This window comes from Homo sapiens, chromosome 4 (assembly GCF_000001405.40).
Source record: "Homo sapiens chromosome 4, GRCh38.p14 Primary Assembly".
In the NCBI taxonomy this organism is placed as follows: domain Eukaryota; kingdom Metazoa; phylum Chordata; class Mammalia; order Primates; family Hominidae; genus Homo; species Homo sapiens.
Window position 1 is genome coordinate 184,003,040 of NC_000004.12, and position 26,863 is coordinate 184,029,902.

The following is a 26,863-nucleotide window of genomic DNA, read 5'->3' on the forward strand; positions in this document are numbered from 1 at the left end:
AGGCAAACGCCTTTCCTTTTAGTAGTGAGAGAAACAGAATCCCAGGTGAGAGCCACCTAAGTGGGGACAGATAGTGTTGCCAAACACAGTGGTCTTGGAGGAAGGACCTGCTTTCTGTCCTATGAGTGCGTAGCCACTTCTGACATTGAACAACCCAGCAGCTTTTTAAATCCTTTTATTTTTATATAGCTTCATGAGAAATCACACGGCTTTTCTGAAATTGGTTACGTACCACCCATTTTTGGGCTCTAAAATAAATAATGGAAAGAACATACAGCCAGTGTGTAATAGTAAAATGCTCCTCACTGCCAAGCAGCTGATAACAATATCACTAACTTGGAATGCTTTGTGGATTAATCCATAGGTCATTTGTACTTAAAAGAATAACTGTTTTGCTAGCTTTTATGGGAAGAGAACTTAAATCCCAAGGCCCTGGTTTTCAGACAGACTGAGGAGCTTTTTCTTCTGTGTGACACTGATGACTCATTGGTCAGCCTCAGAAGTTTGCAAGGACACCATACAAACCCAGGTCTAGCGCAGGAGTTTGCTAACCTGCAGGCCTAGTGCGGCCCACCACCTGTTTTTGTAAATAAAGTTTTATTGGAACACAGCCGTGCCCATTTGCTCATGGATGGTCTTTGGCTCCTTATGCGATAGTGGCAGAGTTGAGTAGTAGCAATGGAGGTCATATGGCTAAAAGCCTAAAATATTTACTATGTGGTTCTTTACAGAGAAAGTCTGCTGACCCCTGGGCTAGGATATGGTGGTAACTATTTAAAGTTATGTTCAGCAATAGCTCCAGATTTTAAACTGGTATTTCATAAAAAATGAAAGTTTGTTTCCTGCCTGCCTGCCTTCTTTCCTTTCTTCTTAGCTACCTTTCTCCTTTCCTTCCCTTCCTTCCTTTGATTTTTTTTTTTGTCTGTCTTTTACTATCAGTTAAGCTACAGCAGAAGAAAATATTTTAGAAAATCTAACCCTTTAAATTCTACTTGAAAATTGTATTTTTAATGACAATGCTAAAACTCTGAAGGGATTTAAAGATCATATTTATATTTTTTGTTTTTAAAGGTAAGAATAAAGTATTTAGTTCTTTTATATCTTACTATTCAAAAATAAAGTTTTTGAGCCTAAGTATTATTAAAATATTTGGATCTCATATTTAATGTATATTTTATAAATCAAAAGTGTAGTCTAGAATTTGGCTTCTTTTCTTGTTTTGGGCATCCATATTCTAAAGAAAGTTTTTAGTGAATAGTCTTCCAGCAAAAATTTCTGGGTCAGGCGCAGTGGCTCATGCCTGTAATCCCAGCACTTTGGGAGGCCGAGGCGGGCGGATCACGACGTCAAGAGATCGAGACCATCCTGGTTAACACGGTGAAACCCCGTCTCTACTAAAAATACAAAAAAATTAGCCGGGCTTGGTGGCGGGCGCCTGTAGTCCCAGCTACTCGGGAGGCTGAGGCAGGAGAATGGCGTGAACCCGGGAGGCCGAGCTTGCAGTGAGCTGAGATCACGCCACTGCACTCCAGCCTGGGCGACAGAGCGAGACTCCGTTTCAAAAACAAAAACAAAAAAAAAATTCCGATACATCAAAACTTAAACCTTTTTATCACTTTTCTATAAAAGTGAGAAAAACAAGTTGGCTGAATTTTTGAAAACCAACTCAACAACTTTTATCTATCAATTTCCATTACAGAATCAAGAATATTTTTAAAAGGTTTATAAAGAATAATACTTGCTTCTTGTATTTCTAAATAACTATGCATCCATTCATCCAGAATGATCATTTAAATTGGTGGTCTGGTACCTGTTAAGCTGTTACAACTGAATCTTTCTGGGAGGAAGACTGGTCTTCAGGGACATAGAGCTAGACCCTATAAGTCCAGGTATGGAGCTGAACTTGACTTTAGAGATTCCTGGAGAATGTTAATAGATACACTGTGTTCTGTCTCCCATTCGTCTCCTTATGTTGGCTCTTACTGAATTCTTCTTCAGCCAGCGTTCTTCACAAACAAGAATAATCTAAAGATGCTCATTAAAGCGTTTCACTTGAAAGTGCTTAACATACAGAACAGGTCCATGTGCTCACTGTTCTGACAGTTTGTCAGATTTGCAGGACTAAAGCAATACATAGAGGCTGATTGTGGTGGCTCACACCTATAATCCCAGCAATTTGGGAGGCCGAGGTGGGCGGATCACTTGAGGCCAGGAGTTTGAGACCAATGTGGCCAACATGACGAAACCTTGTCTCTACTAAAAAATACAAAAATTAGCTGGGCGTGTGGCACGCACCTGTAATCCCAGCTACTCGGTGGCTGAGGTACAATAATCACTTGAACCCGGAGGTGGAGGTTTCAGTGAGCCAAGATTGTGCCACTGCACTCCAGCTTGGGTGACAGAGTGAGACGATATCTCAAAAAAAAAAAAAAAAAAATTCATAGGTATAAGTAGACCACAGTGTCATGCAGTGTTTTAAAATAGTTATTTTTGCTTTGAAAAATGTAAAGGTGTGGAAGAGATCAGGTTCAGGCCTGTTAGGATGTAAAGTTTATTTTTGTTCTTTAAGCCCTCACAATCTGAACTCATGATGAACTTTCGGAGTCGAATTTGGAAGTAGTGGAATATGCAAACGTTAAACATCCATCACAACCATCACTTTCTCAGGTCAACCCTACAGATTTCTGGCAGAACCCTGAATTTCACAATCAGTCAGTATATTAGGGCTTCATAATACAATGATAATCATAAACATAAGCAACTTTCAGTTAAGTCTGAAAACTCTCAGGTCACAGCATGGAAAATGGCTTGGACAGGGGGCAAAGAATGTTTCTAGTTTGCATTATCAAATTAAACATTATTTGATGGATATACCTGGAAACCCAAGACATAAAAAAATTTAAGCACAAATACTCTATGGAAATAGAAAAATTTTTCTCTATTTTTCTTTTTATTCCTTCATTTGAGAACTACTAGAGAACTTGTTTTTAATGGTAAGTAAAGATGTTTGCATTGTAGTCATAATTCTATACATTAATAGCTTTATGAGTTTCCTAAGATCATCATTTGGAAGGCCTACAGTCAGCAAATTCTATAATAAAATTAAACTTTTGCTTTATAGTAATAGCTATTTTTATGACGTATACATCAGCTTTCCCTTATTAGGAGCCATGGTAAACTGGTCAATCATGAATACTTATAAATGAACCTTACGAGTGTTTGAAAAAGTTTGTCACATTGTTGACTAAAAGTATGCTACCATTTAAGATGTGGTCGGCTTTAAACATGGGCTTGTTATCTTGATTGCTGTGCCAAACAATGACAGTGGGCATCATTCCTGAGACTGCGGTGCAGAGGTGTGCCCTCATCTCAGAAGGTATATTCCGTGTCAGTGGTGTCCCCTGAAGTTATTCAGTGGAAGGCACTTTGGGAAGCAGGGGCGGGAAGATCACTTGAGCCCAGGAGTTCGAGACCAACCTGGGGGGCAACATGGAGAAACCCCATCTCTACAAAAAATATAAAAATTAGTCCCAGCTACTCGAAAAACTGAGGTGGGAGGATCACCTGAGCCTGGGGAAGTTGAGGCTGCAGTGAGCTGAGATCTTGTCACTGCACTCCAGCCTGCGCAAGGGTGAGACCCTGTCTCAAAAAAAAAAAAAAAAAAAGGAAAAAAGAAAAAAATTCATTTCTATTTTGTACAGAAAGTATTATAAAATTAAAAAACACCAGCACTTTGGGAGGCCGAGGCGGGCGGATCACGAGGTCAGCAGATCGAAACCATCCCGGCTAAAACGGTGAAACCCCGTCTCTACTAAAAATACAAAAAATTAGCTGGGCGTAGTGGCGGGCGCCTGTAGTCCCAGCTACTTGGGAGGCTGAGGCAGGAGAATGGCGTGAACCCAGGAGGCGGAGCTTGCAGTGAGCCGAGATCCCGCCACTGCACTCCAGCCTGGGCGACAGAGCGAGACTCTGTCTCAAAAAAAAAAAAAAAAACAAAACAAAAAAAAAATTTTGTTATTATTGGTCTTAAAATCATTTGTATAAAAACTAATGCTCACTTGCCAGAAGTAAAGTATTAGACTAAAAGGAAACCATGCGACTCAAAAATTAAATAATTATATTGATACATTATCTATGAACAATGCTACCTTTTCCGCCTTGGTCACTAAAGATACCTTCTGAAGATGGTAACACAAATGGGTGTGTATGTTACCGCGCATTCACGGATTTTCTCCCCTTGAGAATCCCAGGCCATTTCTAATACCTTTATTTCCTACTTTGGAAGGACTTGGGGAGTTGAAGCATCTCAGCTGACCCAGGTGTTCTAGGTTGGTGCACATTGTTGTTTGAAGGCAATCTGGTTTTCCGTGGGTCCCGACCCAAAGTGGAGACTAACTCCCAGCTAATGTTTATTGAGCACTCTCTGTGTGCCAGGCACTGCTCCACACACGAAACTCCTTTCACCTCAGCCCTGTGGCTACAGGTACTATTGTTATCTACCTTTTGATGACAGTGAATGGAGGCTCAGAGAGGCTGAGCTGCCTAAGGTGGTACCAGCTGTCTTCATTTGCTAGGACTGCTGTAACAAAGTGCAGATGGCTCAACCAACCAACATGTATTGTCCTACAGTTCTGGAGGCCAGAAGTCCAGAATCACAATCTCAGCAGGATTGGTTGTCCTTCTGAGAGCTGTGAGGGCCCTGTCCTCGGCTTACGGATGGCCACCTTCTGTGTGTCTCCTCACACTGTCTTCCCTCTGTGCCTTTCTGTCTCCAGCTTTCCCCTTTTCAGAAGGACATCAGTCGTATTCGATTAGAGACCGCTCTAACGACCTCATTTTGACCTGACTTTAAGACCCTTTCTCCAAATAGAGTCATATTTAAAAGAGTATTAGGAGTTAGGATTTCAGGATATAAATTGGGGTGGGGAGTGCATAATTCAACCAGTGACACCAGCTAACAATGACAGGGCAGGGTTTCAATCCAGCAGCCCGGCCCCAGCCTTTTAGTCTCCACCTTACACTGCCTTATTCGTGTTTGGTTGAACCACATGCAACTGCCATTTTTGTGAGTCAGATGGTTAAATATGGGCAGTTTCACATGACTCAAGCTGACCGATTTCAGGTCAGTCTTCTAAGTATTACCACCCTTTATGTGCCTGGCATTGAGAAATGGAGAATACCCAAGAAATGAAGTAAATGGGCTGGAGCCTGGGGAACTTAAACTCTCTTAAGAATTTATGCTCTTAATTCTGTCTCTTAAGGTAGACGAGGCATAAACATGCACAAAAACCCTTTGAAAACAATTATCAATCATACAAAGAAGCTTTCATCATTTTCATCTGGTGTGTCTATTCTAGCCAATATGGGAATTTTGGACAAAAAGACACAGAGTGTCAAAGCCTTCACTCATGTATTTATTAGGGCTCTTTGGTTAGAAATTAGAAAAACCACCTTCTTCTTACTGACTGACGCCAAAAAGGAGAACATTCTTACATGAATTTTACCCGGGCTGCAGTCAGTTTCCAAATGGAAGGCAATGACTCCAAAATTAGAGGATACATCATAAACAGTAGTCAAGTCTAGTTGCCCTTTTATATCATTCACAAAATTAAGTTTATTAAGTAAAATCTTTAACAATGAGCACACACAGTAACTCTTCTGTGGTAGCCTCCATATATGTTAGATATGTTTTTTAATATCAAGGTAGATATTTTCACTCTGCTTCTCTAGTTGCTTTTATTGAAAAAGCCTTTTCTATACTTTCATATCATATCATGGGAAACATTTTTCATTTTTCTCTCATTTAAAAATATTCTGTCTTTCCTGTTTCGTTCAGGAAACAGGAAACAACAGGTAACAACAGTAGCAACCTGACTCCACCTAACTTCCATCTCTGTCTTCCCAGCTTTTATATCTGCTCATTCTGTGGGTAGTAATGTAGGAGTTACCCAAGAAGGCGAGGATTTGCACTGAACTTAATGAACACCTTTGTCTGAATTGTGCATCCTAGCTCTGTGATGGTACTTCGCATCTTGGCGAATGAATAGGATCCTGGAAATCAGGAATCCACATGTTCTGTCTTCATTCTCACAAGTGGTTTTTTTTTTTTTTTTTTCAGGTGTTCCAACGCCAAGCCAAGAAATTCTGCGGCACACGCTGAACACGCTGGTACGGGAGAGGAAGATCTACCCAACTCCAGATGGCTACTTCATCGTGACCCCACAGACTTATTTCATAACTCCTTCCCTCATAAGAACTAACAGTAAATGGTACCATTTGGACGAGAGGATACCTGACCGGTCTCAGTGCACCTCTCCGCAACCCGGGACCATCACGCCCTCTGCCTCAGGCTGTGTCAGGGAAAGGACATTGCCCCGAAACCACTGCGACTCTTGCCACTGCTGCAGAGAAGACGTGCACAGCACGCATGCACCCACCCTGCAAAGGAAGTCTGCCAAGGACTGCAAAGACCCTTACTGTCCCCCTTCTCTGTGCCAGGTGCCACCCACTGAAAAGAGCAAAAGTACTGTAAATTTTTCCTATAAGACAGAAACTCTCTCAAAACCTAAAGATAGTGAAAAGCAGTCAAAAAAATTCGGGCTAAAGTTATTCCGGTTAAGTTTTAAAAAAGACAAGACCAAACAGCTGGCCAATTTTTCTGCCCAGTTTCCTCCTGAAGAGTGGCCCCTGCGAGACGAGGACACGCCAGCTACGATCCCTCGGGAAGTAGAGATGGAAATCATTAGGCGCATTAACCCAGACCTGACCGTGGAAAATGTCATGCGGCACACCGCGCTCATGAAGAAACTGGAAGAAGAAAAGGCCCAGAGGAGTAAAGCCGGGTCCTCTGCCCATCACAGCGGAAGGAGTAAAAAGAGTAGGACTCATCGGAAGTCCCATGGAAAGTCTCGGTCTCACAGCAAGACACGGGTGTCTAAAGGAGACCCTTCCGACGGTTCACATCTGGATATCCCAGCTGAAAGAGAGTATGACTTTTGTGATCCTCTTACCAGGGTGCCCAGGGAGGGCTGCTTCATCATTGAACACAAAGGAGATAACTTCATCATGCACAGCAACACAAACGTGCTCGAGTCCCACTTCCCCATGACACCAGAATGGGATGTGTCTGGTGAATTGGCTAAAAGGAGAACTGAGATGCCTTTTCCTGAACCTTCTAGGGGAAGCTCCCACTCAAAAGTGCACCGAAGCCACAGCCATACACAGGACCGGAGGTCCAGGAATGAGAGATCCAACAAAGCCAAGGAGAGATCCAGGTCGATGGATAACTCCAAAGGCCCTCTGGGTGCTTCTTCTCTAGGGACGCCGGAAGACCTTGCTGAAGGCTGCAGCCAAGACGACCAGACCCCCAGCCAATCCTACATTGACGACAGTACTTTAAGGCCTGCACAGACCGTTAGTCTCCAAAGGGCTCACATTTCGTCCACAAGCTATAAAGAGGTGTGTATTCCAGAGATAGTCAGTGGCAGCAAGGAACCGTCCAGCGCTTGCAGCCTTTTGGAGCCAGGAAAACCACCCGAGAGTTTGCCATCCTATGGCGAACTCAACTCTTGTCCAACAAAAACAGCCACAGATGACTATTTCCAGTGCAACACCTCTAGTGAGACGGTGCTCACGGCACCATCACCTCTGGGAAAGAATAAGGAGGACCATGACACTCTGACTTTGGCAGAAGGGGTGAAAAAGCTCTCCCCTTCTGATAGGCAGGTCCCCCACTCCTCCAGGGAGCCTGTGGGGCACAAGGAGGAGTCACCAAAAGGGCCGGGTGGGGGCCCCGCTGCTTCGGGAGGAGTGGCTGAAGGGATCGCCAACGGACGCCTCGTCCAGCACCATGGTGCCGAGCCCAGCAGCTTGGACAAGAGGAAAGAGATATTTAGCAAAGACACACTGTTCAAACCTCTTCACAGCACCTTGTCTGTAAACAGCTATCACAAGTCGAGCCTGTCCCTCCTCAAATCTCACCCGAAGACACCTGCTGACACATTGCCAGGCCGATGTGAGAAACTGGAACCGTCCCTGGGGACCTCGGCGGCACAAGCCATGCCTGCTTCCCAGCGTCAGCAGGAGTCAGGAGGGAACCAGGAAGCCTCTTTTGACTATTACAACGTCTCTGATGATGACGACTCTGAGGAAGGGGCAAACAAGAACACAGAGGAGGAGAAAAATAGAGAGGACGTAGGCACCATGCAGTGGCTCCTCGAGCGGGAGAAGGAAAGAGACTTGCAGAGGAAATTTGAAAAGAACCTCACCCTTCTTGCTCCAAAAGAAACCGACAGCAGCAGCAACCAGAGAGCCACCCATTCAGCCCGGCTCGACAGCATGGACAGCAGCAGCATCACAGTGGACAGTGGATTCAACTCCCCACGGTAGGGAGAGGTGTCTCTGTGCACACACATGCGCCTAGCGGGGCCTGGGGCTTTATGCACGTAACTTGACAAGTTTCTGATTTCGTAGTCTCAGTTCTATGGATGAGGGTTAAGAGTTGTATGAGTTGTATTGTTAACAATCTGTTTCTGACTTCTTTTTCAGGAATTGAAAAAAATGTTTCTGCACCTGTAGAGATCACCAATCTGGACTGGTGGGTTGGCTCCTCCCCTCAAACTTGCATCAGTCTGATCTAACTAAAACCAATATTTCCAGTATTTTTTCTGCTACGTTCATATTGCCACCCATGCTAAGAGAAGGATGTTTTTTAAGTCCTTCAAAAATAGTAACTTTTTGAGTAGAATAAATAGTCTGGGGGCGGGGGAGGAAGATAGGGGTTGGGAGTAAACTGATTGATGCTAAGATAGGGGTCCCTGTAGTGAAAATATAATAGCAGATCTCAAAACCTCTCCAATGGATCTAGAAGCTTGTTGCCATTTGGATCCCACTATTCTGTGCAGCCTGTCCCTCTGGCTCACACACCTTCCTTTCACTGCCAAGAAATGGAATATTTCTTCCCTCACAGCGAGGGCAGGGGCCTGTGCTCTGTTAGATCAAAGCATGTGCCATGTTTATTTCTCCTCCTGCAGAAATGACGGAGCCCATTTGGGCAGTCTAATTGTAGTTCCTTCTTGTTAATAGGTGTTAGTTCAGCAAAGGGTTGACAGTCAAGAGTTAGTGGTGCCCAGTGGTCATGGCCAAAGCTCTAGAGTTATTCAGGGATTCAGAAAGCAAACAAGAGTCTGTGCAACTTCCTTTTTTCTTCTTAACTCTTTCTTCTCCTCAAAGAGCAACATGGGACCTAATTCTCTTTCTAACTTCTACTCCAGATTGGTGACTCTGAGATGCAGAAATACTACTGAGAGATTGACATTTCTCATCAGCTATGATTCCCAAGATTTTATAATACTTATAATTTTAACATGGATTCAGATAGGATTATGTACTTCATATATTTAATTATTAAGAATTAAAATTAATTCCGTTGTGATCTTTTCACTATATCCCTGGATAATTTTGGAAGTGAGCATCACACAGCTGGAACTGGGAATCATTAATTGCTTTGTCCCATATTAGGCCTTTGTGATTTATTAAAGGGCTGGTTCATTATTATTATTATTATCATCATTATTATTTTGGTCTTGGAGCCTTTCTTCCAAGTTAACACGTGTGTGGAAGTCTAAATGTCTGCACAGAGCTGAGAGATGGCCGTGGTGACAGTGGAGACTATGGGCCCCAGTCCCTCTCCCCATCCCTCGAGGAGCCTCTGACACCTCAGGGAGCCATGGGCCTCAGCCTGAAAACCACTAGTCTACTAAGTGGCTTTTCTAAGAAATCATTTTTGCTAAATAATTTTTTATCTCAAATCAGATATTATTTTCTGATTTATTTTAACTATCCTTTTTTTTCTTCATTTTCCTGTTCTACTCTTTTTTCCTCTTGAGTTCCCGGTAGTGGATACCAGATTAGCAAAACAGAAGGTCTGTAATCCGTGGTAGAAGTTGAGAACAATTTTTGGTGGTAGGTGTGGTGTATTTGCCTGTGTCTTTCTGTTCTACTGTTTCTCATTATGTAGCCTCTGCCTCCTACCTGCTTTTCACATGCTCGTTTTAAACCTTTCTCCTTTCCCTCTGGGCCCCTGGGCTTCCACAGACAGGAAGCTGCCGTACTAAAGAGATAGTTGCTAAGGAGACATTGGGAGTAGTTTAATGAGTTCTAACTAGAAAACCTTCCACTGCATAATATTGAAAGTTTTTTGTTTGTTTGAAGGTAAACAGAGATATTCATGAAATGGTTGAACCAGTATCTCTACAGAATATATTTTACTATCTCTAAACTTGGGGTGCAGAATATAGAATTTATGACTGGGATTATTTCTTGAAGTAAGTTGATTTTCAGTTGTTTCATTATGTGCTTAAAGTTAAGTGTTTTGTCATGGCAGAAGGTAAAGACTGTTCTAAAGAGACAACCTTCACACAATAGCCGCATGTCTCCCCACTAATATTAAGTAGAATTTTCTCTACATGAAAACGTGTATCACCTATACATGTTATACAGTTAGAGAATCTACAGAACAATTGCTAATTTTACCCCTTTCATATTTACTACCCTTCGATTAGAAGCTAGGTGACAAACTATTTTCTACACACCTTAATAAAGTCACTGAGTTGTCTCGCTGATCCAGGAGTAATGTTCTGCAAAGGAAAGTATTTGACTACTAGAAACTTTGCTCTGCAGTCTGGGGAGTATTTTAGCCAGATAGCATTATCATGCGCCTACATTACCATTGCTGCGAGACATGGGAATCGTTTTAAATTTTTTTTAGAGATAGAGTCTCACTCTGTTGCCCAGGCTGGAGTGCAGTGGTGATTGTAGCTCACTGCCGCCTGGAACTCCTGGGCTCAAGCAATCCTCCCACTTCAGCCTTCTGAGTAGCTGGGACTACAGGTGTGTGAAACCACACCTGGTAATTTTTAAAAAAATTTTTGTAGATCCTTCTGCCTTGGCCTCCCAAAGTGCTAGACTTATAGGCATGAGCCACCATGCCCAGCCCTGACATGAAAATCTTAAGCAGGCCATTTATTAAAATCTTTCAGTAAATAATTCACCGAGCAGCTAAGCCCCAACCAAAAAAAAAAAAAAAAAAAAAAAACAGAAAAAGACCCCAAAAAGTGACTTTTCTCCACACTCCAGGGTTTCAGTGCTGGCTTAGAAGTCATGTTCAGCCACATTTCCAAAATTCTTCAGTCCCTTTTGTTGGGAATTAAAGGGTATGTAGAAGGAAAAAGGGTAGAAACTTGAACTATGCTATGAGATCTAATATTGAAAATGAAAAGTCTTGACGTGAGAAGCCTGTGATTTCAAATATGAGGCCTAAAGCTGGTTGATAAACACAATATGAAAATCAGAGACCAAAGGCTGCCAGGGGTATATCTGCTTAATGTATTGCAAGAACGTGTGCTGTAGACGCCTGGGGCCAGGGGAAGACATGTGTACAGAAGGATGAACAACAGAACCGCTTGGTCCATTTCTCCTGCCTATAAAATCCTGAAATCCTGTTTTTCAGGTTGTACTCCATTAGCTCTCTTTAAAAAAAAAAAACAAAAAACAAAAAACCAACTTTTAAATTTGAGGAATATTTTTACTGCTAACATTCTATCTCCTTTAACTTTTTCATCAGCACATCCGGAGCCCGCAGCTTGAATGTCACAGACTGTAATCATTATTGCAACAATAATGAAATACATTCTTTACCACAATTTACCACTATTACATATATTACATATTTACCACTATTAATATGTTGGCTGTGATTGAAGGTGGGCGAAGGGATCTTACAGTAGAGACAGACCCCAGCTCAGATCATGTATTGCAATATGTGTTTACGGTGCCTGGTATACAGCAGGCACATAATAAATGTTGAGCCCACCCCTTGAAAGCTGGTTTAAGAGTGAATCCTTTGGACCTTAAAATGTATTTTCCCATAGAAAATACGTCATTCGTAATACATGGATTCTGAAGCGAACCCACAGTCACTATTTATTTCATTATATGCTAGGTATACAATGAAATAATCCACATTTTCTACCTTATTAGTGTACAGATTCTTCCTTGATGCTTACTTCTTCTTCACAGTCACCCTAGGAGTAGGTACATCCCATCATAACTCTCTATATTTTAGAGATGAGGAAGTCAGATACTGTAAAAAGTTACTTTAGTGATTAAGAACAAAACCAAAGGAATGTGTCTTGAAATCTTTGGGGTTTTGCATCTTTCCTGACCCTCCTCTTCCTCCACCTGCTCCATGCCTCAGTGGTAGCTCTGGCAAAGCCACTGGTGAGTTTTCCTGGGGGAGACGTCATGTAGGCAAGTCTCACACTTTCCCTTTTAGTGATGACATTTTGGAGTGTCTTTTAGGTATGCTCAGATTTACCATAAGCATAATGAAAAACTTGACTTCTCCCTATAAATGGATTACCTTTCTGGAGGTACCCTCGACATTCAAGAAAGTCCGAGGGTTTGTTTGTTTGTTTGTTTGTTTTTTTGGTTGTCAGTGAACAAACTGCCTTTTAAACAATTAACTCTTGGCTTCTTGGTGAGAAGCAAACTCAAAGCCACAAGGAGTTAGGCTTAAATAACCTGTTGGAAAGGGCTGTCAGAGTACAGGATTCAAAGATGCTATCAGCCGAGGATGGGAATGAAAGAGAGGAGAGGATGTCTTCGCTGTAGTAGTTTGACTTGTTAACTAGCTCTAGCAGGCTTAAGTCAGTTGTGGGGACCAACTCTCAGAGACTATTTCCTAAATGTTGACTCTGCCTCATGCAGTGGATGTTTTGAGAATGCTTCTGGCTTCCTCAATCTCTGTAGCTGATACATTTCTTGTAGCCACATTGAGGCCCTGGCACAGGAAAGCTACTCAGTTCTTCTCAATCTGGCCCAGTCATCTTATTTCTGCCATTGCCCTATACATTTGAAATCTTAAATGTTCTAAATATCTTAAAGCAATGAAATAGATTCAAGTGTTTCTAACTTAGAAAAAGTAAAAGAGAGAGCAAAATAATACAGCTTTTAAATCACCTGTATTCTATACGAATTATTTTAAAAAGAAAATACTTCACGTATAATCCCAGCATTTTGGGAGGCCAAGGCGGGCGGATTGCTTGCACTCAGGAGTTCGAGACCAGCCTGGGCAGCATGGGGAAACCCAGTCTCTACTAAAAACACGAAAATTAGCCGGGTGTGGTGGCACATGTCTGTGGTCCCAGCTACTCGGGAGACTGAGGTAGGAGGATTGCTTCAGCCTGGGAGGCAGAGGTTGCAGTGAGCTGAGATCACACCACTGCACTCCAGCCTGGGGGACAGAGCAAGACCTTGACTCCAAAAACAAAACAAAACAAAACAAAAACAAAAACAAAAAATCCAAACAAAAACAATCCTGCCGAAGTGGGGCAGAAATGAGTGGAAACTTAACAAATGAATGGGAAAAAAAAATCGAAGTTCCTTTATCGAAAATATAATGTATTTTAACTAAAGTGTTAAATTTTGAAACAGTGGAATAAAACGTTTAAAGTGAATTTTATTCCCATCTTTGCGGCAAATGCCCAGGGTCCCCCAAAAAAGGGCATGCTCAAGTCCCCCACAGTCGAAATCTGCTAATCCAGAATGAAAATGGAATCATTAGGATAAAATTATCGAGTGTGTTCAGGAGCGGCTATGCCAGTGAATTTCCAGCCTGAAATGAAATCATGACTTAGGTGTATTTATGAGTATCTGTTTTAAAAACCACTGTGATAGCTAGCTATCACCTCAAATTTTGAAGTCGTTTCGTTGAGTGTGAAAAAAAGGAGAAGACATTTCAAAGTGCATTTAGCTATTTAAAAACCCTTTATTCACTGAGTGTGCTGCTGATTATTACATGTCTGTGGAAGCTTCTGGAGCCAGTGGTGGAGAGGCAGATGTGAATAATCAGTCGAGATGTATATTGATATGACATTATGAACCAACAGAGGAAATCCATTAACGACATCATTTGCTCTTCCTCTGGGGCTCAATTTATAATTATTTATGTTCCAAACAAAACAAAACAAACCCTTTTTGCTCTTTTAGTACTCGGGAGAGCCTGGCTTCCAACACATCAAGCATTGTTGAAAGTAACCGTCGTCAGAACCCCGCTTTGAGCCCGGCCCATGGTGGAGCTGGTCCAGCCTTCAACTTCCGAGCGAGCGCGGAGCCCCCGACAAATGAAGCTGAGAAGCTACAGAAACCTTCCAACTGCTTGCAAGCTTCTGTTACTAGCGTGTGATTGTCCTTCTGCCTCAGATCTTCTGTCTCATTCGATACAGCAAAGTTTACGACACTGGGACTGATGTTTACATCTTTGGAAAGACAAGCATCTCAACCACAGTTTTTGTGTTTACTTAAACTGTGCTGCTAAGTAGGGCTAGGGCAAAAAAACAAAAAATCTTTATTTCAGAGTATTGCTTTTCACATTTATGGCTCTGTAGCAACTGAGTAACAGTAGGGGTGATATGTATACTTTTGCTTCACTAATTGTATCTGAGCACACATAGGAAAGTCTAGACACTGTAAGTGTAATACGCATTTTCAATGTCATGCAGTTGCCAATTCCATTTTAAAATGCCACAGATGCGTGTTGCTCCCAGTCTGTGGTTAAACGGTGCCACAGAACTGATCCTTGACACTTCCAAAAAAAAAAAAACAAAACAAAACAAAAAAAATTTAAAAAAAAAAAACAAAAAACAAAACTAAGCTACCACGAAATGTCAAATGCAAGGGTCCACCTTGAGGGAAATAGATGCCAAACTAACTAGAAGGGACCCCGGCCCTTTGTGTGTGAATTGTTTATGCACCAGTCATTTTTCACTGTGAGTTTTCGTGACACTATTTTGCAGGAGCCCATGGAAGTGTGTGAGAAGGGGTCGCAATGGAGATCACTGGGAGTGAATGTTTTCAGGGTTTTGTTTTGAAGTGTCACAGATGCTTGTCTGATTTTTTTAACCTTCCGTGATCACAAACAGGAATATAGGCCTTTGAATCTGAAGTGGACAAAGGAAAGCAATTTCCAGTCTGGCTGGGGCACAGCATTAGGTGATTGAAAAGGTGATGTGGACTTGTAAAAGGTGTTACTCAAATATTGAAGGAAGAGAATTTCCTCCTTGTGATACTTAGGATGACCCTATCTTACTCTAATAGATACAATAATTAGTTTGTTTAAAAGCAAAATGTTCTTTGTGATACAAATGAAGAGTAGGGCCTGAGGATGTTATTCTTTCTAATGGAAGGACATAAATCTATTTTATGTAGTTTTAAATAGAATGCCTAAATTAGGCTGTGGGAGATAATTTTTAGTGGTTGTAGGAAAGAGCAAATTTAGGGAGTGTTGAACTTCAGGCCTTTTATTCCTGGGAAGATATGTATAGAGAAAACTTTTAAAATAATTTTTGATTAGAAATATACATGTGCCCATGTAATAAACAACAGAATGTGCTCATTCTGCTAGTGCGGTATAATCCGAATTTGTACTCCCCTAAAATTTATCAGAATAACAATTATGCATACATGAACTATGCCAGAGTAATGTTTACAGATACTTTGTAACCAATTTCAGGAGGCGTTTTTAGCTGGATGTGTAGTTAATTAGACCAACTTATTTCCAAATGGTTTGTTAACATTTTGCTTTGGTTTACAATGTCATGTTGAACACAAAGAAGACCCAGCAGCAAAGGGATGACCAATAATTTCATCTTATAGCAAGGAGACATTCCAACGTTCCCATGTTTTATTTTCTGAGAACAGTGGGACAGATCTGTAGTAATGGAATATTATTTGCAAAAGGGTTACATATGACACAAGTAAGTGTTCTGACATAAAGTTTTATTTAGTTCAGTGGCATGTGCTGTTGGGAGCCATACACCATAAAATATATATATCCCAAAATAAATCTAGAATATTTTCACCTCCAATTTCAGTAATTGGCATATGATTTGTGAGACGCATCTGTTTTTGTATGAGGTTTAATCACTAGCAATCTGTTTAAAGAATCCAGTCCTATACACAGTTGGACTCATTCTTGAAACCTTTAAATGCTCCCTCATAGTTTTTCAGTTATTTGGAAGTTGCATTGGGTCAAACTGAACTCCTTGAGTTTGGTGTAAATTCCTTTTTTCTGCTTATTATAGTGAAACTTCAGCATGTTTCTTAGTAAACTCCCATACCATTGAAATGCTTAAGCCAGTTGGCTTTCAGTCTCATGCCTTATTTCCTCCAAGGCATGCCTCAACGCATTGTTTGTCTCATTGCTTAAATATGTCCAGAAGGAATGATCATGTATCTAATAGACTACATAGTTGGTTCCCTTGGGGAGTTATATATCATACAGTTACTAAATATTTGTCTAAATTCATTTTTTCCAAAAACCTGCTCTCAAATTTTTCTTCTACTCTCAGTTCATAAATAATATAACCATTGAAACAACACATCAGCCTCTAGCTGATCCTCTGAAAGTAGCCATTGAAATAATCGAATACTGTGTGAACAGGAAAGGAAAGCGTTACCTTTAAGAGAAGCTTTAAAATAGGAATTTATTGATATTTCACAAGATATAGGTTTACAGAAGACATTATTCAAATAAATATGTACACTATTTGCCTGATGCTATGGGGTACATAATTTTTTAAAAACTCCCTTAGACCAGCAGCCATTAGTGTAGAAATGATGGACTTTAAAGGTGATACCATGTAAGCAGATGTTGCATATAAAAATATTCCTGCCTGAATCTGATCGAGATTCTTGAATGGGGGAGGAGTGGCAGCCGGCAGCACATTGCAAATGTCATTCGAGGTCACGGTGAGGCTCTCGGTCCCGGAACAGTGGGGGCCTCGCCAGGCGTTGCCAGTATCCCTTTCCTCCTGTAAAATCATAGCTTTGTGTTACACGACTGCTTATCCAGTCTTAGGGTTTAGCAGCTGAAAGGTTTACAAAACTGAATCTGGTTGAATCTCTGTGAAAGGGTCAACACATCTGTCGGCATTTTGCACACTTATGTATTATTATGATACAACATATTACTTTATGGTAATTTTTATTTTTACATATAACTACCTCCATAAATTTGATGAAATGGCAGCCGTGTGTTAAAGTGTATCGTTCAGAAGAGCAAAGTTGAACACTTCCTTCAACATTAGGGCATGGCGTGCTGTGTGTGTCAGTGATTGCCTCTGTGGACTCATGACTTTCCATCGCCATGGCTTTCTCTTACGCCGCTGTTTGGCTTTCAGATGTAATCCTGTCTTCTCCTCTCTTCCCCACGAAAGCGCACTCGATTTTGTTAGGAATGAACGGAAGTTTAAAAATTCTTGTGCCCACCCCCGCCCTCCACCCATTCCTGTTAAAAGTTCTCTGGCGAAGAGCCAATGGGTGAACGTAATTGAAAGAGCTATTTACTCTTTTGGAAATCTGATTTGAAGTCTAAGTTTTCAGTAACAGAAGACACACAAGCAATGTGGACTGCCAAGCTTGAAGCACTTCGGGCTCTGCCTTCACTCGCATGCTACCATGTCGAGCCCAAACTCCACTTTAATTAAAAGAGCTGTGCTGTGAATTCCACAACTTCTGTTAAATAATTTGTATTCCATTATATATATTTTGCACATCTCAGGGGACCATAATGAACATATGAAAGGGGGGGGGGTGCCATCAAATAGAGAAAACAAATAGAAGAGGTGAATGGAGACTAGCTGGATAAAAATAACAAATTACTTCTTCTCTGATGTTGTGAAGGTCAGGTTCAGGAAGCATCAATTCACAGTTAATCCGGAGTAACAATGATCTGAACACCAGCTGTTCCCAGGTCCCTCTTTTTCATAGCCCAACCAGCATCTAAAATGTAAATTTAAATTACATTGCAGTCACCATGGGGAGAAGAAACCTGTTCAGTGGAAGCAGAAGCATTGTTCCTTTTTTAGGTTGGCGCAGCTTTGCAAAACTCTACCCAGGATAAACCACTTATCACCACCAAGTGTACTTGAAAATAAAGTTTTTAACTTAAATTACAAGCATATTGCTCATAATACAATAGTGATCATTTTTTGAAAGTCTTGCCATTTATAACATGGGCAGTATTTGGAGCTTCATTTAAAAACCAACAACAACCGATAATGACTTTGCACGATTCACTTTGGGATCTCAAAGTGCTTCCAAAGCATTCAGATTTACAAACAATTCACAAGACAGGTCATCTTTGTAATACGCATACTTACAACGAATTAACAAAAGGAGTGACTTAAGATTCTCCAGGAACACAGTGGCAGCTATTGATGATCTGTTTTCTATCTGTTTGATAGAGCATCATGAGAAATCACAAAATACAATGCTATTTTTCTGATGTGTGCTAATAAAGTCAAAGAAAACAAATACATCTTGACACTTTTGTCCATTTTCATTAAAAAAAAAAAAGTTCAGGGTGTTTGGAATTTTACATCTCAGCACACCTTACTGGTATCAATGGATAAAGCGGGTGATTGACAGATCCACCCAAATGCCACTGCAGTCAGAAGCAGATCTGGACACACCCTTGTTTACAGTTTCATATTGGGTTGCTATAGTTCCCGTGCTAAATCACCAGCTTTCAGGAACATGACTGCTCCTGGCAGTGGAAGGTGCTGAAACAGAAATTTTAATTAAAAACTTTATCAAGTACTCTTCACAGTGCTGCTTGGCACCATAGAAAATCAGTACAATATATCGAGCCCTACTTTGGAGGAGCTGGATTTCTGAGGGAGCTGATCCAGTTCTAAGTGTCTTCTCGAATTAGGAGATAGATGATCTTTGATGGGGATCTCCTCCGTCACCACAGGCCAGTCACAGAACCAACTAGCCACGTGCTGCCAGACCTCAGTGGGCCCAAGCAGGAGCAATCTCTTCTATCCCCCATCTCCCCCAGGACCATCCCGCCCATTGTCAACGTCATCCAGGGCTCTTCTGGTAGTGAGTGACTTTTCTGCACATGTTTAGGGCTTGGGGGAGCTAGAACACAGGAAACATGAATGCAAAAGGCATGGAAAACACTGTTTTGCTTTGGGTTAGTAAAATGTGGGCAGGACAAAGATTACTATTGGTCTGAGCTTTGCCAAGTGAGATAGAATCAACTGTCACCCCATTCCTTTCCCAGAAGGTCTTATGGTATTAAGGATACATCCAGTATTTTCCCACAGATTTTTATTCAGGCGATGTTTCATAAATTACATATATGAAAACATTCATTATTACATTTCCTTGTGTGTTTCAAACAGACATTGGCACCTTCCTATTGAGTTAATTCTCTGCATCTTTTGCAGCAGCAGCCCACAAGGAGATTCCCAGAGATGGCTCCCCTAACACACAGTCCTGTGATTTTACAGTTCTATGACTTACAGTTGATGATTCACAAGATTCAGGATTCTACAAGACTCAAGGGGGAACTAAACTTTCTTACGATTGTACATGATCAGTTATAGGGCTGTAATCATTAATTGTTGGCTTCAAATGTGGACACACACACACACACATCATGCCAAGGAGGGAATGGGGTGTTTCAAGTCAGGCAGCGATGATTCTGGAAGGTTGGAAATGTAAGGTTAGAAGCTTGGCTGGTCTTAGTAAACTTGTTCCCTTGCTCCCACCAAGAAGAGGTACCAAATGTGAGACCTGAGATCTCCTCCAATATCTGTCCTCTGCAGTTCCGGGAAACTAATCATGAAGTACACATGCAGCAGCTCCTCCACTTCCTTTCCTCCGAGGTCCTCCTTTCCATTCTCCCACCTAGATACTGACACACCGCCACGGTTTCCACATTGGAAGGGCAGAACACTGTGCAGTATCGTGCACACTTGCTGGGTTAGGAATAGAGCTGCCCTAGGGTCACCTTCATGCAAGTATTGACAGCTACAAATTAAAGTCCTTAGAGCAGTTGACACAGATACTACGTTCTAGAAGAGAATTAAATTTAAACGTCAAGTTTAAAGGGATCATAATTCTGCAGGTATCTTTCTCTGAGTGACTGAATGTGACTATTGCATTAGGGTAAATGAATTAAGACGTGCAAGTGGGATTTACTGTATGTTAGAAAGGAGTTTTGCAGCCAAGACTGCCTTGAATAAAATGTGTTTGCACTGAAAAAAAATTTTAAATTACTTGGTCTCTGGTTGCTGTAAAGGTCATCCAAGATGGATGTTCTGTTTATATTGTATAGTATTTCATATGAAATAATTACAGTTCATGAAATGTCTTCCCTAATGTTACTGATTTATAACAGCACATTTGTAACATGGTTTTTATCGTGTCAGTGTACCATACTGTAAATGATGATTACTTGTCATGCTTAGTATAATAACTTAAAAGAAAAAAAAGGACAGGGATTTTTGTAAGTCTATATTTGAAAGTCCCTCCCTATGGTGATACTGTGTTCATGTTGTTTATGTAGTGTTGTGTGAAATATCCATTTTGGATTGTGTTACTTTTTAAGATATTAAATAACATTTGGTTATATGTCTTAAGTGGATTTTTTTTGGTACTTGAGAGAAAATATTTTAGGTGAGGTTAATTGACTTCTCTCTTCAATTAATAGGATTTTATAACATTGTGATTACTCAATATTATTAGAGCTTCTGAGTTAAAACAACTAAAAATGAAAATTTTCTGATCAAAATTCTTTTTCCATGAAAGTTGGGGGAAAAAAATCACATTTTTAGGTAACTGAATTTAAAACAGAGTGAGAGAGATGCCTATAACTACATTTTCTATATGAAATTATAAAGTGATGTGATTAGGTCTGGGGTTTCTTTTTCATTAGCACTCATGTCTCAGCTTTTGTTCCCAAGTGGATGGGATCCTCTCCCCAGTAAACACGAGGAGGCTGCTCACAGGTTCCAGTGAGTCACTTGCACAGGTTCGGAATCCTCCATGTTTATTCTCCTTCAGCTGTCATTCATTCTTCTGAGTCTCTCACTGTGGCAAATCTTTGCCCGTAGAAAATGGGCTTTTTCAAACCAAAGGGATTTGCTGCCCCGTTAATGATGGAGCTAGGAAATGGTATTCTCAGTCAAAAACAATGAGCCATAAAGTCGAGCCTGATTTTCTTATAAAGGCAATATCCAAAGTAGACTTCCAAAAATTGTTGTGAACAATGACAGTGTCTACGGATAAGTGTCTGGAGACCCCAAGGTAACTGCTTTGAAGAACAAGTTGTATTTTGTTGCGTAAGTTTGTCTATATATTTTAAACTGTCTCAATACAGACGTTTCCTTTTTCAGGCATGAAGTTAGGAAGAGCAGGAATACTGGGAGTATATTGTGAGTTTTACTCTAGGACCAAAAGCAGCTGTGGTCAAGGAAAGGTAATTGTGTGTTCATTTCAGAACGATCTAGTGAACTGAGGAAACGTGGGGACTTAAGGAGAAGGGGGAAGGCAGGATTCTGATTCCTTGGAGAGAATGGTCACAGTTCATAAACACGTTGTCTTTCCAAAGGAAACGGTATGGTTTTAACTTACTTTTAGCATTTAGAGTGGTGGCTTTTCTCTCCTTCCTTAGAGAAAATTCAAGCAGAGTACTCAGTACTTGCCTCCTTCCCTGGTGGTGGCCATGAAATCGAGAACCACTGAGTAATCAGAAGAAGTTATTCACCTGACCTTAATAATTCATTTAACTGTAAAATCTTATCCCTACTGTGAGAGTTCTTGGATTTAGGGACACCCCCCTGCCCATCTTCACGCTCAGTGGCTCCAGACCTTTCCTGTCAAGCAAATGGTTAATCATGTGTGTGATTAATATATTTGCACAGTACATTGCTCCATACAGGAATTTCAAGAAAAACCGAGGCACCTGTGCTCAAGAGAGGCCGAATAGGTTGCTTAACTGCAGCTCCCAAATTCCATCAAATAAATTCCTCCCAGGTCACTTTCCTTTGCGTTTCCCTTGTTCCTCACCCTTTATTGTAAAGTTCCATGCATTATTTTTATTTTCTATTACCTTGAGTTTATTTTACTTTACTACTCTTCACTTTGCATAATAGCAGTGCTTTTCATTTGTTCGTTGTTATGCTGTTAATATTTGGACTCACTCTTGCTCTCCATTATTGATAACCACAATTGATTACTAGTATTTTAAATTTTACATTTATATTGTCTTTCCCTCCTTGTGTGCACAGACCACTGTCATCCCTCAATCTCATTTCCACTCTCACCTTTGCACTAAGAGCCTTTGGTTCTCTGACACTTCTGTAGATGTCTGCCACCAGCTGAGTCATCAGTGGCCTGATAAATGGTAACTTGAAGATATGCATGGATTGATGGATGGATGGATGGATGGGTGGATGGATGGATAGATGGATATTGCATTAGATCAAAGGTGCCTGTATTCTTATCGTCTGAAAATGACAATGAAACAAAAGGAGATATCATGCAAAAGGATATTTTTTGATGTCCGTGTGACTCCCTTTTAAGAACTTATCTTGGGAAATTATTTTGTAACCTTCTTCTATCTATGCTTCAAGCCATTGCCTGCCATTCTTTACTATACAATATATGATTTATTGTGGGAAAAGTTTTTTTCCCCTGAAAGACACCTCCTTTTTTTTTTCTTTTGAGACGGAGTCTCGTTCTGTTGCCCAGGCTGAAGTGCAATGGCACAGTCTTGGCTCACTGCAACTTCTGCCTTCCGGGTTCAAAAGCTTTCATTGAGAGCTGGGATTAGAGGCACCTGCCACCATGCCCAGCTAATTGTTTTTAGTAGGGCTGGAGTTTCACCATGTTGGCCAGGCTGGTCTCGAACTCCTGACCTCAGGTGATCCACCTGCCTTGGCCTCCAAAATGCTGGGATTACAGACGTGAGCCACTGCACCCGGCCAAACACCTCCTTTAAAGTTAGTAACAGCTCAGTGGTTTAGTGATCAGCAGGCCCATCGACACAGTGCAGCTTCACATTGTTTGCCACTGTTGATAAAACAAGCGAGACAGATAACTAACAAAGCTCAAGTGGATTGGAGAAGACAGCTTTTGCCCCTCTTTTTTCCTTCATGTGTTATTTGAAGGCAGTTCATGAGAGGACATCTGTGTTGAATGTCAAAGGATCAATACTCAGTCTGGGAAAATGTTAAGATTGTCTGGAATACAGCAGTGAGCTTGGAAACAGAAATGGTCATTTCTACATTTCTCTCCCTTCCATGTCTCATCTCTTAATTTGAAGGGGACTTAATTAAGTGGATTGGGGCTCCATATGGCCCCTAAGAAGTCAGACAAATGAGCATAATAGAAGGTATCTTTTACAATTGACTCTTGCTCTAGCCAACTGGTGGAAGGGCCAGCACTTTAGAAAGACTTGCCTCGGGACTTCAGCAGTTAGCATTTTTGTAGAGAGTTTTTGAGAGTAAAGCACTTCCACTGCATCTTAAAAATAAACCTTTGATAACATTTTTAGATTTCTGGAATTATTACAAAGATAGTACAGAGAGTTCTTGGATACCCTATATCCAATTTCCCTTGTTATTATCATTTCACATTAATACAGTTCCTTAGTTACAATTAATGAACCAATATTATTACATTATTGTTAAGTAAAGTTCACCTTTTATTCAAATTTTCTGTTTGTCCCCACTGTCATTTTTTGTTGCTCTTGTCCCAGGAGCCCAACCAGGATACCATACTATAATCAGTTGTCCTGCCTCCTTGGTCTGTGACAATTTCTTAAACTCTGTTTATATTTGATGTCCTTGACAGTTTTGAGGAGTATGTGTCTGGTATTTTGTACAATGTCCCCAGTTTGAGTATGACTTATACTTTTGTCATGAGTAGGCCAGAGTTATGTGTTTTGGAGAGGAGGACCACAGAGATAAAGCTCCATTCTCATCATATCAAGAGTCCATCCTATTCATTATGACCTATTACCACTATTGATGTTAACCTTGATCATCTGGCTGGAGGTAGTGGTTGTCAGGTTTCTTCACCGTGAAGTTACTCTTTTTTCCTCTCTTTCCATACTGTTCCCTTTGGAAGAAAGTCACCATGTGCAGCTTAAGGAGTGGAGAGTTAAGCTCTGCTTCCTTAAGGGCAGAGTATCTAAATAAATAAGTTGTAATTCTTCTGTACAGAAGATTTGTCTCTTCTGTGCCACTTATTTATTTATTCAATCATTCTTAGCAGTATAGATTCAGATATTTATGTTATACTTTGGGTGAGAGTCTATTACCACTTTATTTTATTGCTCAAACTTTTCCAGATTTTGCACTGAGAGCTCCTTAAGTTGGCTCTTGTACCTCTTTGATGTACCCCAGCACTGTGGTTTGTTCACATGTTTTTGAGCACCTTCTTAACTCTCTGGCACTATAAGAAGCTGTAGGCTCATTTTGTATATTTCCTGTCCCAGTCTTGGAATGAGTCGTTTCTCTAAAGAACGCTCGTGTCTTTTATTGGAGAATGGTATTAGAAACCACCATCTGGGTGCTGGCTTTGTGCATTACTACTGGGGAGACATTACTTCTAGGTCTTCTCAGCTGACAGAGCAAGGAGGTATATGTGTGTATGCTAACCTGTCCACATACACGTATCAATAGATATTGCTAAATGTAACCACCTGTACTTCTATTAAGCTAAGTGTCATGCTGATGTCTCCAACTCTAATGCATTATGACATGGATCATTCTAGCCTCTTTTCTTGCTCATCTGTAACTTCCCACTCCCACAGTGAGAAACCCGGCTCTCATCACCTGCCATCCCTTTACTGGACTGCTCAATTGCAGTATACACGATAGTAGGTCATCCATTGCATTTTCTAAAACTGATTTGATAAATATGGAAATAGGGAAACAAATGAAAGTGTTTCTCAACTTATTCTAGTATGCGGCTTACTTCCTGTGACAGTGCAGTGAAGATTATAAACTTGTTAGTGAGCTTATTTGGTCCTAGAAGGATTGTTCTGAAGAATGTGAGGTTCAGAGGGAGGAGGGGCACTATTAATTTTATTTAAGATGTGTACTTCCTTATGCTGCACTGTTAGAACTTGGAAAGAAGCGACGTTGACTTAGCAGTACAGACTAAATGTCTGGTGAACCGCTACTTCCTTCTCCCCACTTCTAATCTCTGAATATTGACCTAAATTTTTACCATATTTCAAGGTCCAGATCAAATGCTGTCTCTTTCACAAGGCCTTCTCTGAGTGCCCTTCTCCACTTCCATGCCCTGAGAAGATGGCTTCTTTTCCTCTCTTATAGTACAGCATTCATCATTTCCAATCCTGTGTTCTCATGTTTTGCCTTAAAGACAGACCCTGCCCAAGACCATCCCCTCAGCTAGACAGTTTATACCACTTTAATATTATTCCCTTGATTTCCTGGCTGGGGGAGCCTCTGCTTGTCATTGTTTCTAGGTGGCCCTTATGAGCTTTGAAATCTTCAGCAAGAAATGGGCTGGGTGTGGTGGCTTCAAGCAGGGTTTGAAAAACGCTGCGTGCTGTGGTCAGGGCTCCTTCTCACTAAGAAACCTCTCAGGAATGTGCTCCCAGCTACTGCATCCTTTTTGCTTCCATGCGTCTACCTTATCACCAAAAAACCTCAACACAAACCGAAACCAAAGAACACCGGGAACAGGAACTGAGCTTTGGCTTTTGAGATGTCGAGAAGTTGTTATAAGATGAGAAGCTGAGCGGGAGGCTTCCAGCCCTTCCTGTTGCAAGCACCTGTGCTGCAGAAGCCTGGCCCTTTGCTCTTGGGTTGTGACGGAGCCGCTGTGTTTCTCCACAGCACCCTTCAGTCTGTGTGTGCAGCACCAAGTCGGGGGGAAGTTAGAAGAGGTGGGAAGAGCCACCGAGCAGGCAGCTCAGGAGAAGCCAAACCTTGCACAGTGGAACGGAACGGGCAGTCCATTTGTGGGGAAAACACGAGACGGAGGTCCAGTGCTCTGTGGTGCGGCAGGCAAGGGGGAGGCTCTTCCCCAAAGTGGTTGGAGTGTGTATGGCCACGGTCACAGTGTGTTTCCTTTTAACCGTATCTTAAATCTGAAGGCAGCTGACGATTGTTTATGCAAACTTTCCATAAAAGTGTAACAAAAAATTTATTTTCTCCGTCCTGATTTAAGTTTTCTCCCCACTCCATCCCCCATCTCAGCCACATGGTTTCCTTGGGGCTGCTTGTCATTTTTTTCCCCCACCTCCTGCTCCTTCTCTTTGCATCTGTGGGATTTTGCTTGCAGCTAATTTTTCATTTTAATGTTCTCATTTCTCTCCCCCTGTCCCGCACACTTTGAGAACAAGTCCATGAATTTGATTTCTTGATAACTTTTTCATATCTTCCCAGAGCAGTTTCCCCAACTGTTACTAACTCATTTTGTAGTCATAATGTGGCTGTTTGTAAAGCCTCACTAGGGAGGTCTGCTATAATATATACCAACACACTGCTTGCTCTTACTTCCAAATATTCAAGCTGGTTTTAAAAAAAAAAAAAGCCGGAATCTCTGCTCGTCTTTTTCTGGTTGTCTGATGTAATACCAGAAATCTCCTAAGCCTCTGGTTTACCTGAGGTGTTTGGAGTTGGTGTATTTGAGGGGAATTGCTAAAATGAAGTTGTTTCTTGTGGCACCAAGGTTCAGACAACTAGGGCTGGGTTGCAGCCCAAGGTGAACTGAATGACTATAAAGTCAAGTTCCCACTGGGAGATGTAACCTTACAGGTAAATTGAACAGGGGCTTCCAAATCCACACTTCTTGAAAGCCTTGCCTCTATGAAAATACTCATCTTAATTTTAGTTGTCTGTATGTCCCAATTTTTCTACAGTAAGCACATATTATTCTAAACTCAGAAAACTGTGTATGGACAACTAAAATGTTTAAGAATACAATAAACAGAAGGGGCTGGGGTGTGGTGGCTCGCGCCTGTAAT

The 26,863-nt window shown here is 41.2% G+C and overlaps 1 protein-coding gene across 8 annotated transcripts in view, besides 1 other annotated feature; it reads left to right on the plus strand.

Annotated features, from left to right (window-relative positions):
- The window catches only part of STOX2 (storkhead box 2), a 225,509-nt gene extending 205,018 nt beyond the window's left edge, over window positions 1–20,491 (plus strand). For 6 of the 8 annotated variants that reach the window (NM_020225.3, XM_047415989.1, XM_011532131.2 and 3 more), the window contains 2 exons: window positions 6,119–8,384; window positions 14,050–20,487. In NM_020225.3, coding sequence (NP_064610.1) covers window positions 6,119–8,384; window positions 14,050–14,245 — 2,462 coding nt within the window. In that variant the 3' untranslated portion in view covers window positions 14,246–20,487. Of the gene's footprint in view, window positions 1–6,118; window positions 8,389–14,049 lie in introns of those variants that run through there. The other 2 variants (NR_132761.1, XM_017008466.2) reach the window with 2 other exon arrangements.
- Window positions 14,149–14,648: an enhancer, noted in NCBI's record as "H3K4me1 hESC enhancer chr4:184938341-184938840 (GRCh37/hg19 assembly coordinates)". NCBI's record gives its function as "activates a minimal SCP1, AML or CMV promoter by ChIP-STARR-seq in primed H9 embryonic stem cells {active_cell/tissue: H9 hESC(primed)}" and the evidence as "EXISTENCE:reporter gene assay evidence [ECO:0000049][PMID:30033119]".
- Window positions 20,492–26,863: the final 6,372 nt, after the last annotated feature.